The sequence below is a fragment of the Homo sapiens genome, chromosome 6 (assembly GCF_000001405.40).
Source record: "Homo sapiens chromosome 6, GRCh38.p14 Primary Assembly".
Taxonomy (NCBI): Eukaryota; Metazoa; Chordata; class Mammalia; order Primates; family Hominidae; genus Homo; species Homo sapiens.
The window spans coordinates 83,944,535-83,958,368 of NC_000006.12; the positions used below are offsets into that span (position 1 = coordinate 83,944,535).

At 36.5% G+C, this 13,834-nt stretch overlaps 2 protein-coding genes across 5 annotated transcripts in view; both read left to right on the forward strand.

The window, feature by feature from the left end:
• RIPPLY2-CYB5R4 (RIPPLY2-CYB5R4 readthrough) overlaps nucleotides 1-13,834 on the forward strand; it is a 114,064-nt gene that overhangs the window by 91,175 nt on the left and 9,055 nt on the right. For all 4 annotated transcript variants that reach the window (NR_174604.1, NR_174605.1, NR_174603.1 and 1 more), the window contains one exon: nucleotides 10,764-10,928. Coding sequence is in view for 1 of the 4 variants with exons in the window: in NM_001400774.1 (NP_001387703.1) it covers nucleotides 10,764-10,928 (165 nt within the window). In the remaining 3 variants the exon portion in view is untranslated. The remainder of the gene's footprint in view (nucleotides 1-10,763; nucleotides 10,929-13,834) is intronic.
• Nucleotides 1-13,834, forward strand: part of CYB5R4 (cytochrome b5 reductase 4) — a 107,735-nt gene that overhangs the window by 84,846 nt on the left and 9,055 nt on the right. Inside the window, exon 15 of the mRNA NM_016230.4 lies at nucleotides 10,764-10,928. Within this exon, the coding sequence (NP_057314.2) occupies nucleotides 10,764-10,928 (165 nt within the window). The remainder of the gene's footprint in view (nucleotides 1-10,763; nucleotides 10,929-13,834) is intronic.

Consider the following 13,834-nt stretch of genomic DNA (forward strand, 5'->3'; position numbering starts at 1 on the left):
CAAAATAACCAGCTAGCATCATAATGACAGGATCAAATTCACACATAACTATATTAACCTTAAATGTAAACGGGCTAAATGCCCCAGTGAAAAGGTACAGTCTGGCAAATTGGATAAAGAGTCAAGACCCATCAGTGTGCCGTGTTCAGGAGACCCATCTCATGTACAAAGACACACATAGGCTCAAAATAAAGAGATGGAGGAAGATTTACCAAGCCAATGGAAAGCAAAAAAAAAAGCAGGAGTTGCAATCCTAGTTTCCGATAAAACAGACTTTAAACCAACAAAGATCAAAAAAGACAAGGGCATTACATAATGCTAAAGGGATTAACAAGAAGAGCTAACTGTCCTAAATATATATGCACCCAATACAGGAGCACCCAGATTCATAAAGCAAGTTCTTAGAGACCTACGAAGAGACACTTTCACACAATAATAGTGGGAGACTTTAACACCCTACTGTCAATATTAGACAGATCAATGAGACAGAAAATTAATAAGGATATTCAGGACTTGAACTCAGCTCTGCACCAAGCAGACCTAATAGACATCTATGGAACTCTTCACCCCAAATCAACAGGATATACATTCTTCACAGCACCACATAGCACTTATTCTAAAATCGACCACATAATTGGAAGTAAAACACTCCTCAGCAAATGCAAAGGAACAGAAATCATAACGGTCTCCCAGACCACAGTGCAATCAAATTAGAACTCAGGATTAAGAAACTCACTCAAAACCGCACAACTACGTGGAAACTGAACAACCTGCTCTTGAATGACTACTGCAGAAATAACGAAATTAAGGCAGAAATAAATAAGTTCTTTGAAACCAATGAGAACAAAGACACAACGTACCAGAATCTCTGGGACACAGCTAAAGCAGTGTATAGAGGGAAATTTATATCACAAAATGCCTACAGGAGAAAGCGGGAAAGATCTAAAATCGACACCCTAACATCACAATGAGAAGAACTAGAGAAGCAACAGCAAACAAATTCAAAAGCTAGCAGAAGACAAGAAATAACTAAGATCAGAGAAAAATGTAAGGAGATAGAGACATGAAAAACCCTTCAAAAAATCAATGACTCCAGGAGCTGGTATTTTGAAAAGAATAACAGAATGGATAGACCGCTAGTCAGACTAATAAAGAAGAAAAGAGAGAAGAATCAAATAGATACAATAAAAAATGATAAAGGGGAGATCACCACTGATCCCACAGAAATACAGACTACCATCAGATAATACTATAAACAACTCCACACAAATAAAGTAGAAGATCTAGAAGAAGTGGATAAATTCCTGGACACATACACCCTCCCAAGACTAAACCAGGAAGAAGCTGAATCCTTGAATAGACCCAGTAACAAGTTCTGAAACTGAGGTAGTAATTAATAGCCTACCAAACAAAAAAAGCTCAGGACCAGATGGATTTACAGCTGAATTCTACCAGAGATACAAAGAGGAGCTGGTACCATTCCTTCTGAAACTATTCCAAACAGTAGAAAAAGAGGGAATCCTCCCTAACTCATTTTATGAGGCCAGCATCATTCTGATACCAAAACCTGGCAGAGATGCAACAAAAAAAGAAAATTTCAGGCCAATATCCCTGATGAACATCGATGCAAAAATCCTCAATAAAATACTTGCAAACTGAATCCAGCAGCACATTAAAAAGCTTTTCCACCACGATCAAGTGGGCTTTATCCCTGGGATGCAAGGCTGATTCAACATACACAAATCAATAAACGTATTGCATCACATAAACAGAACTGATGACAAAAACCACGTGATGATCTCAATAGATGCAGAAAAGGCCTTCAATAAAATTCAACACCCCTTCATGCTAAAAACACTCAAACTAGGTATTGATGGAACATATCTTAAAGTAATAAGAGCAGTTTATGACAAACCCACATCTGATATCATGCTGAATGGGCAAAAGCTGGAAGCATTCCCTTTGAAAACTGGCACAAGACAAGGATATCCCCTCTCACCACTCCTATTCAACATAGTATTGCAAGTTCTGGCCAGGGCAGTCAGGTAAGGGAAAGAAAGAAAGGGTATTCAGATAGGAAAAGAGGAAGTCAAATTATCTCTGTTTCCAGATGACATGATTGTATATTTAGAAAGCCCCATCATCTCAGCCCAAAAACTCTTTAAGCTGATAAGCAACTTCAGCAAAGTCTCAGGATACAAAATCAATGTGCAAAAGTCACAAGCATTCCTATACACCAATAATAGAGAGCGAAATCATGAGTGAACTCCCATTCACAAATGCTACAAAGAGAATAAAATACCTAGGAATCCAACTTACAAGAGATGTGAAGGACGTCTTCAAGGAGAACTGCAAACCACTACTCCAGGAAATAGGACACAAACAAATGGAAAAACATTCCATGCTGATGGATAGGAAGAATCAATATGAAAATGGCCATACTGCCCAAAGTAATTTATAGATTTAATGCCATCCCCATCAAGCTACCATTGACTTTCTTCACAGAATTAGAAAAAAACTATTTTAAATTTCATATGGAACCAAAAAAGAGCTCGTATAGCCAAGACAATCCTAAGCAAAAAGAACAAAGCTGGAGGCATCACGCTACCTGACTTCAAACTATACTGCAAGGCCACAGTAACCAAAACGGCATGGTACTGGTACCAAAACAGATATATAGACTAGTGGAACAGAATACAGGTCTCAGAAATAATGCCACACATTTACAACCATCTGATCTTCCACAAACCTGACAAAAACAAGCAATAGGGAAAGGATTCCCTATTTAATAAATGGTGTTGGGAAAAGTCACTAGCCATATGCACAAAACTAAAACTGGACCCTTCCTTACACCTTATGCAAAAATTAAGATGGACTAAAGATTTAAACATAAAATCTAAAACCATAAAAACCCTAGAAGAAAACTTAGGCAGTACCATTCAGGACACAGGCATGGGCAAAGACTTCATGACTAAAACTCCAAAAGCAATTGCAACAAAAGCTAAAATTGACAAATGGGCTCTAATTAAGAGCTTCTGTATAGCAAAATAAATTATCGTCAGAGTGAACAGGCAACCTACAGAATGGGAGAAAATGTTTGCAATCTATCCATCTGACAAAGGGCTAATATCCAGAATCTACAAGGAGCTTAAACAAATTTACAAGGAAAAAAATCCCATCAGAAAGTGTGGGCAAAGGATATCAACAGACACTTTCCAATAGAAGACATTTATGCAGCCAACAAACATACTGGTCATTAGAGAAATGCAAGTCAAAACCACAATGAGATACCATCTCACATCATTAGGATGGCGATCATTTAAAAAGTCAGGAAACAACATGCTGGAGAGGGTGTGGAGAAATAGGAACACTTTTACACTGTTGGCAGGAGTGCAAATTAGTTCAACCCTTGTGGAAGACAGTGTGGTGATTTCTTAAGGATTTAGAACCAGAAATACCATTTGACCCAGCAATCCCATTACTGGGTATATACCCAAAGCATGATAAATCATTCTACTGTAAAGATACATGCACATGTATGTTTATTGCAGCACTATTCACAATAGCAAAGACTTGGAACCAACCTAAATGTCCATCAATGATAGACTGGATAAAGAAAATGTGGCACATTACACCATGGAATACTATGCAGCCATAAAAAAGGATGAGTTCATGTCCTTTGCAGGGACACGGATGAAGCTGGAAACCATCATTCTCAGCAAACTAACACAGAAACAAAACCAAATACCGCATGTTCTTACTCATAAGTGGGAGTTGAACAATGAGAACATATGGGCACAGGAAGGGGAACATCACACAACAGGGCCTGTCACAGGGTGGGGGCCAAAGGGAGGGATAGAATTAGGAGAAATACCTAATGTAGATGACAGGTTGATGGGTGCAGCAAACCACCATGCACATGTATACCTATGTAACCTGCACGTTCTACACATGTATCCCAGAACTTAAAGTATAATAATTTTTTTAAAAAGTAAACAGACATAGGTAGGCTTAAGATTGTTTTTTAGAAAAGTATTTCTGATGGTTTTTTGGCTAAGGTATTCTTTTAGATAGTTACCTTATAAAAGCAATTTTGTAAAATTTTATTTTTTTAGGAATAGACATTGTACTTTTGACTTCAACTTGATTTATAAATTAATTGTTAAGGAAAGTGTTGACAGTCTCTGAACATAAAGTATCTTTTAATAGAGTCAACTGTGTTTTTTCTTTCGTTTTGATCTACATAATTTGGGTTGGTGAGGTTGCATAGGCTGGAGTTTTGAGGATGAGGAAAGGCCCCTTTTTTTTTCATGTCTGGATGCCTGGCTCTAACAGCACTCATCAGGTGAGTGGTACTCTCCAGCTTGCTGACGGAAGTGATAGTGTTCCAACCTCTGGCCTGCCTTTATCCTCCCTCTGCTGTTCCTTCTCTTTCTCTTCTTGCTCTCCCTTGCTGGCTTGGGTGTGCTCTTTCTCTCTCCTCCCTAACCTCTTTCTGGAGACTTTGTTGTCCTTGCTTGAGGCACTGACTCCTAGTATTGTGTAATTTATGATCCCCATAGACTCCTGGCGTTTTGGGCTTTTTTTTTTTTTTTTTAGTGAGGTCAGGTCAAGCCCTAGCTAGAAAACAAAATGACCATGCCTGTGTATATGGCTTTGGAAGATTTAGCAGGAATTTTACCATATTCTGAGGCTTGATGTAAAACATAGGAGAACCCTGGCCTTAAAGGCTTATTGATTGCATTTGCTAGTACTATTCAGCCAAAACATAATTATTGTGTCCCATACAAAAAAGGAAAGTAAAAGTTAAGATTTAAGTTGAGATGATTTTAATTAGTCACAGTTGTATTTTAGTTAGCATTTAAGGATCTTCATTTTCTAATATAGTAAATCATCACTCTTTACCATATCTTGACCCTCTCTATATCACTTTCAGTTTTAGTAGTAAAGTTCCTGATGCCAAAATATGTTACTGGAACACATTTCTGTGGTTAAATTATTATTGAATTGTAAATATTAAAAAACAAATTTTGTAGTTAAGAGAAATACCCTACTGTCTATATAATTAGGTCCCAGTCTTCTACTCCATCCTTTGTGGAACAAGGAGAGGGATAGGAATTATGGATTCTGAGGCTGACATATGATCGAATATTTTCAGCAAGTGTGCTATGCTTGTCCGCAGAGTTTATCTAGAGAATATCATTAGCAAATGGAATTCTTCAAAATAAAATTGTATAATGGAAAGTTATTAATCTCTTGGCCTTGGGCAAATTACTTTATCTGGCTGAGCTTCAGTTTTTCCATCTATAAAACAAACATTAATACCTACACCACAGAATCATTTGGACATGGGAATCAATGAGTTAGCATATGTAGGTTCCTAGCCCAGAATTAGTATGTTTGTAGCAGACATTCATTCATTCATTCGTAAAATATGTGTAACATCTATTATGTACCTGTACACATGGATCCAACAGTGACACGATATTGTGTTTACTTATTTTCTCATGCAGCCCAAGGAATGAATCTCTTCATTTTCCCTAATTACTGCCCTCAGGAGAATTGCAAAAATATAGATACTTCATGAATAATTTTTAGAATACTACTCTTTCTATTTCAATCTGATTTTCATGTCATTAAGTATGAAATCTGAACAGAAAAAAAAATGTGTACCCAAATTTTATCCAAATGTGTTATTAAACTTGACTGTTCTAGCAATTGGGATTCAATTCACCACATTCCAAGTCTAGCAAAATCTTATCCTTTTTTTCTTACGAAAAATGAGACAAAACATAAGGCAAATATGTGCAGTAGTGGATTTAACTAATTATGTAAACTGAAATCCAAACTAAATTCCACTTATCCTTCTCCCAAATATGTGATCAGTGTATGAGGCTCAGTTCATTCAGTACACATTGGCCCACCTGCTCCCATCAGCAGAATGCCCTAGCTCTGTGATGTCTCTGCTTTTGTAGAATGAGTTTTGTGGGGTGGGACAGGTGGTACAGTTTGACAATGAGGTTGACTTCTAGAAAACATTTTGTGGTATATAAATATAACAGGTATTTTCCTTTTGTTTCAAATGAGTCGTTCTTGGAGACCATTAATCTTATTTTAGTAAAGGTAGTGGTACATTTTTTTATAAACAGCATTTGTTGATTTTCCCTTCTTTTTATAAAATTAATACATGTTTATATAGAAAAGGTATAAGAAAAAAATCACCCATAATCCTACCACCCAAAGAACAATTATTAACATTATGGTCTGTATCTTTCTATTCATATGCATACCTACCTTTTTGTTTTGTATATTTAAAATAATGTAGTCATACTAACTATAATTTTTATAACTACATTTCTACTCATTGTATTGTGTGTTTTTTACATAAAGAATATTTTCAACAGGTGGTTTTCAACCTTAAGCAACTCTGCCACCCCAGAAACATTTATTATCACAACTAGGGGAAGACGTGTTACACCTAGTCAGTAGAGGCCAGGATTGCTACAAAATATCTTACAATTCACAGGAGAGCCCCCCTACAACAAAGAATTATCCAGCCCAAAATGCCAGTTGTGCCAGTTAGTAAATCCTGCAGTATACCATGATTTTTAATAACTGCATTGTGTTCAGTCATGTGAGCATACCATAATTTAGTTAACCAATTCTCTGTTATTTGACATAGTGACTAGAAATTGTTCAATACCTCTCTAACTATTCAGGATAAAGAAGAATTATTAGGTCAAACTGTTTTAAGGCTCTTGATACCTATACTTTAAGTTCTGGGATACATGTGCAGAACATACAGGTTTGTTACATAGGTATACGTGTACCATGGTGGTTTGCAGCACCCATCAACCCATTATCTACATTAGGTATTTCTCCTAATTCATCCCTCCCCTGCCCCTCCACCGCCCAACAGGCCTCAGTGTGGAACGTTCCCCTCCCTGTGTCCATGTGTTCTTATTGTTCAACTCCCACTTATGAGTGAGAACATGCAGTGTTTGGTTTTCTGTTTCTGTGTTAGTTTGCTGAGAATGATGGTTTCCAGCTTCATCCATGTCCCTGCAAAGGACATGAACTCATCCTTTTTTATGGCTGCATAGTATTCCCTGGTGTAATGTGCCACATTTTCTTTATCCAGTCTAACATTGATGGACATTTAGGTTGGTTCCAAGTCTTTGCTATTGTGAATAGTGCTGCAATAAACATACATGTGCATGTGTCTTTATAGTAGAATGACTTATAATCCTTTGAGTATATACCCAGTAATGGGATTGCTGGGTCAAATGGTCTTTCTGGTTCTAGATCCTTGAGGAATCGCCACACTGTTTTCTACGATGGTTGAACTAATTTGCACTCCTGCCAACAGTGTAAAAGTGTTCCTGTTTCTCCACGTCCTCTCCAGCATCTGTTACATTTTGACAAATGCCTCTGACAATGAAAACACTTAGCAGAGAATACTATACCCAGCCTACATTGTCATTGTTGATGACATTAACACTGACAGTGTCATTAACAGTGATGTTGTTAGTGTCATTATTTTTACACTAGAGTGGATTGGGAGGTTAGTTGGGGCAAAAGAGAGAGGGGAAATAAAGGGATTCTAAGCAGCATGGAAATGGGTCACAAAGGAAACGGGACTATTTACCCACTTATATGCACCAATAGAAGATAGAAGACAATTTACATCACTTTAAAGATTTGTGTGCTCACTCCCTGCAAAATGTGCTTGACATTACAAAAAGATAAGAAATCAGTAAGACTACCCTAGTGGTGGTGAAGTTCTAAAGTACATAAGTGACTGTAAAGTCTGTGCCTTGAGAGAAACAAAAAACATACCATAGATATCTAGTGAAAAGAATTTTATTCCATTTTTGTGAGGGTGGGAATATCAGAGCTTCATGGAAGAAGGGGCTTTTGAGCTGGGCTTTGGGAAATGATTAGCATTTCTTGGAGCGGGAAAATAAATCTGGGTAGTAGGATTGCATAAGACATGAGGGCCAGGATATTCTAGTGTTTTAATGACAGAGTAGAGTTGTTTTGTTGAAATAAATATTGTGCATGAAGGAGAATGATGCAGAATAACTAAAAATAAACCCATTAAACCTTATATCAGTTTTAGAAGGAATCTTAATAGTTATCATTTCTGATCTTTTTGTTTACAATTGAGGAAACAAGATAGGCTAAAATCAGGTGCTGAAAGACCTTGAATGTAATTAATATGTGAAGTAAATATTATATATCAGATAGACATAGGAAGAAGGCACAGTGACACTCTGTGGCTCATCTCCCTGTAGTGCTGACAGGCTCTGTGGACTATATGTTTTTGTCTTCTGATGTCAGTATTGGGACTGGCAATGTGGCAGTTCCATTTAAGTTAGCAAAAGCTGATGATGCCAGAAGCAGAAGTAAATTGAACAGTATACCTGAAACTGTTTCTTTTTCCCCAGCCTCTTATGCTGACAGATATGCAGCCCACTAATCTGGAGCCTTATAGCACTTTCGGTTTCTTCCAGGAGATGTTCCTCAGATGTTGTGTTGCTCAGAATGTGTTCTTTGAAATGTTAATGTGTTCCCCGGAATGGACTCTGTGATTGAATAAATTTGGGAAACAGTATATGCCTTCCTGAAGATTTACTCTGAACTTAGCATATATAAGGCTTTCTGAAATTCTACGGAAATATATTTAACTTTTTTTAACCCAGTATGTCACAGACTTATTTGATAGTTAGCCTGCTTTCATGGAATAACTACTAACATCTGGAGGCATACTAGTGTTTCATTAGATTCATTTTAAGAAATGTTTCCATATAATTATGGAAACATATATAATTATATATATTTTATCTAATTTTGATTCCTAGTTTTGTGAGATTTTTTTCCTTTGAGCACATAGCAATTTTTACTACAGTTGCAGGCATTTTCTTTAGCTAGAAAAAAAACAAAAAACAAAAAAAACAAAAGCAGGAAAAGCTGGGGCCCCAAGTACTCTGAAATACCAATCTGTGGGCAGTGAGGAATCACTGAAGCTTTTAAGCAAAAAAGTTGTAAAGTTGTATCAGAGTTTTTAGGGGAACTAATATGGCAATGGTATATCAAATAGATTAAGGGCTAAGGCTGTTAATGTAATATTTTAGATGAGATATAAGAACCTGATCTGGAGTTGTGACAGTAAAAATGGGAAGGTAAGGGACTTTGTGTGAGAAAATGAAGGAGGCAAGTTGCTGAAGCTGATTGGCTAGAGGAGGAGGGAATAAGTCGTTGGATGACTGCTAATGATTTAGACTAAATGAATACATTTGTATTTCAAGACTTGTCATCTCAGATCACTATCAGCCTACTTTAAAATAAAATTTTTGACAAGCTTACTTAGATTGACGTTTGAGATCACATAGGCACTCATCAGAAGCAGGTCTGTTCTCTTCCTCTTTCATATTACTTTGTATTTTATGGGTTATCTGAATTTATTTTCAGGTAACCTTTTCAAGGGTCCCAACCCCTTCTGGCACTTTTGAAATTATAAAAGAATTTCAGGATGTTTACTGTGTGCCCCCCACATGTCTCCAGCATCTCAAAGCTGTAATTTTTTAGACAGTAAGTTAACCTTCATTCAGAAAACCCAGGAGAGAGTATTCCACAGGAATTGTCTATATTTTGATATAAAAAATCTTTCATTAAAGAATTATTGAGTCTTAACTTGGGAATGCTCCTGTTCCAGTTTAAGCTCTTTTCTCAGCGTATGAAAAGGAGATAAGCAGGATAACAGCCTCTTTAGAATATCCTTAAATTGCAGCCAGAGATTAAAATGCATGTGTCACTGGTAATTGCTATTTACTGTGATTTATACCAGCATATTATTATTGTTTATTTTGGGTTCAGGGGGTACATGTGCAGGTTTGCTTGAAGGGTATATTGCGTGATGCTGAAATTTGGATTTCTATTGATCTTGTCACCTAGACAATGAACATAGTACACACTAGGAGGGTTTTCAGCCCTTGCCCCTTTCCCTACACCTCCCTCCTTTTGGAGCCCCCAGTGTCTATTGTTCTCATCTTTATGTTCTTATGTACACAGGGTTTAGCTCCACTCATAAGTGAGAACATGCAATATTTGTTCTTTTTTTTCAATACTAGTAGATTATTAATAGAAATGTAGCGTTCTCTGAGATCCCTTGGGATCTTTATTTCATTTATATATTTATTTTTAATTAATTTCTTTTTTAAGAGACAGGTTCTTGCTCTGTTGCCTAGGCTGGTGCAATCATATCTCACTGGATCAAACGATCCTCCTGCCTCAGCTTCCCAAATAGCTAGGACCACAGGCACATGCCACCACACCTGGCTAAGTTTAAACAGTTTTTTTTGTTGTTGTTGTTTTTGGGTTTTTTTTTTTGTAGAAACTAGGTCTCACTGTGTTGCCCAGGCTGGTCTCAAACTCCTGTTCTCAAACAATCCTCCCACCTTGGCCTCCCAAGATGCTAGGGTTACAGGTGTGAGCTACCATGCTTGGATAATTAGTTCAATTTAAAAAAAAATGCCAAATTACATTCCTTATCTATAGGAAAAGCTAATCCTTAGTAAATATAGATTTACCTATACGTTTTTGTTAAATCTTACAATTTTTTTCAGTGTTTTTCTAGCAAGTAAGTGTATCTTTATATATTAAATTGTTCCTTTAGGGGAGAAATATATTCTTGAACTTGAAACATGTTAATAATATGTTTAAAATAATAAACTTTAAAAAGCTGTTTTTCTTTTCCCTAGACTGGATGTTGAATTTGTTCTCTCAGCACCTATTTCTGAATGGAATGGCAAACAGGGACATATTTCACCAGCTCTTCTTTCTGAATTTTTGAAAAGAAATTTGGACAAATCCAAAGTTCTCGTCTGCATTTGTGGACCAGTGCCATTTACAGAACAAGGAGTAAGGTGAGTAACAGTGTAGTAGGAAACAGACTGCCCAACACTGAAGTGAAGATCTTTCATAACAAGCATCTCTCAGTTCTTCCTGTTTATATGAAACTGCACTTTAATAATCTTACAGTTTTAGAAAATAACAAAGTCTTTAAATCTTCGTATAGTTTGAGTTGGAGGCCAGGATTATGCATATTGTTAGATAAAACATAAAAGTAAGTTACAGCCAGCAGTCAGTGTTCTCTGCTCGTGATGGCTGCCAATATTGTTACACTCACAAGATTGGTGCCACAATTCTTATTTGGGACATTAGGCCCAACCTCTTCTTCCATCAAAGCTTCATAATATATAGTAATTAATAAGGAATGTTCATCTCATTGTAGCTTTTGATCTTCATTCTCTGTAACTGAGTGAAAGTAAATAATATATGTGATCAAAAGCCAAGCAGCAAGACAAAAAGGGAAGACTAGAACACAAATAAGGCAAGACTAATAGTTGAAGCATGGATCATGAAAAATCAGTGGTAGTGGCGATCCTGTTTGAAATTCATCTTGATGTGATTTAGCTTTAAAATGGCACTTTAAAATATTTGGTTAAATATAGCCCCTATTGGATTTCTAGATAATTTTAAAATATGGCTGTTCTAAGTGCCCTATTCTTATTTAGTAGGTGACTAACCTAACATTTCTAGATGTTGATGAAAAAAGTCAAACTCTGTAAAATCTTTGAAGAGATTTATTCTGAGCCAAATATAGTGACCGTGGCCTGTGACACAGCCCTCAGGAGGTCCTGAGAACATGTGCCCAAGGTGGTCGGGGCATAGCTTGGTTTGATACATTTTAGGGAGGCATGAGACATCAATCAAATACATTTAAGAAATACATTAGTTTGGTCCAGAAAGGCAGGACAACTCAAAGCTGGATTGGGGGGGGCACGGGTTTCCAGGCTCTAGGTAAGTTTAAACATTTAAACATTTTCTGGTTGACAATTGGTTGAGTTTGTCTAAAGACCTGAGATCCACAGAAAGGGAATGTTCAGGTTAAGATAAAAGATTGTGGAGACCAAGGTTCTTTTGAAGTCTTACAGTGGCTGCCCTTAGAGATAATAGATGACAATGTTTCCTGTTCAGACCTTTAAAAGGTACTAGACTCTTAGTTAACCTCTTCAGGATTGGACTGGCCTGGAAGAAGAAGATCTAGCTATGTTAATAGGATTCTTTACAGATGCAAATTTTCCCCCACAAAGGACAGATTTGCAGGGCCATTTCAAGACATGGCAAAGAAACATGTTTTGGGGTAAAACATTTTTATTTTCTTCCTTGTCTCGTAATGTTATGCCAGAGTCAGGTTGGAAAGTAAGTCACGATATATGGGGTTAAATAAAACCCATCTGATGAGAATTTATGGTTTGTAGGGCATGACTTCCCAGACCCCTTAGATAGGAATTTGGGCAAGATAAAAAAAAAAAAAAAATCAGAGTTTAGTCCTCATAGATAATCTTATATCTTGCTTTTTTATTTAAAATTTTAATTGTAGAAAAGATTGACCCCCCAATCAATAAAAACATTAAAAACTTTTTTCTTGTCATATTTAAAATGTATTTTATTTTTAATTAAATATATTTCTATTTTAATGCTTTAAGAAAAATGTTGTTTTAGTTAAACTCTCTCAACTTAAAAAGATTTTTCAAGTTTCTGTGTAAACTTTTGCTCTTTTAAAGCTCAAGCAAAACTATTAAAATTACAATGAAGACTAACATAGTTTGAATATAAAAAATTTTTTATGAAAAAAGGCTAAGAGCTGTACTGTCTTCTGCTGTATTGCTTCTGCTATTTTAGAAGTATCTCAATGAGTACTTTACAGATTGCAATATAATAATACTTTTAAATAATTAGAATCATTTTTGCATTTTTAAAATTGACCATAAACTTAGGGAGGCCAAGGCAGGTGGATCACCTGAGGTCAGGAGTTCGAGACCAGCCTGGCCAACATGGTGAAACCCCATCTCTACTAAAAATACAAAAATTAGCCGAGCATGGTGGTGGGCACCTGTGATCCCAGCTACTTGGGAGGCTGAGGCAGGAGGATCGCTCGAATCTAGGAGGCGGAGGTTGGCAATGAGCCAGGATCGCGCCATTGCACTCCAGCCTGGGCAACAAGAGCGAAACTCTGTCTCAAAAAAAAAAAAAAAAAAAAAAAATTGACCAGAACCTATATGGCTTTCTTTTCTCAGTTTTACCTCAGAGCCAATCTTTCAATGCTGTGCTAACTGGCTTACCCAGAGTTGCTCAGGAGTATTTATTAATCATTACATGTGGATTCCTGCTATTACTCACTCCTGAACATGCTGCATAGAGTTGCATTCTGAGATGTAACTTGATTCAAATTAGTACTTAAAATTCATAGTAGCTGCCCTTGTGACTCTCAGTTAGGACTCATTTCTTTGGTTTCCTTATCCTCATCATCTTAATGGATGTGGTGTATTTTTCTTGATTAGCAATTATATGGGTTTCTTATTATAGTTTTTGCTGTTCTGAAAAATGAGTCTTTCTTGTGATTGTGATGTCCACTCCTAGAGTGCTGCAAAGTTAATCTCATGTCTGCTACATAGATTATATTAAAAATATAGCCATCCCAGACATATTCTCCATATTTGGTGAACATTTGTCAGTCTGTATGGTATGATAACAGAGAAAGACTCAGAAACCTATTTTTTAAAAAATACAGATAAGCAGCTTATCATTACTTGGCCAATAATGGTTCTTTATCCATTAAATATGTACTTTATTACAGAGGTTAGTAAAACAGTCTCTGCTTTCCAGGACCACACTATCTAGTGGTAGAAACAAATGCACGTGCTGATAACCAAAGTATGACTCAGAACACCACAAATATCTTACTAGAGATAAAATCAAGATGTTA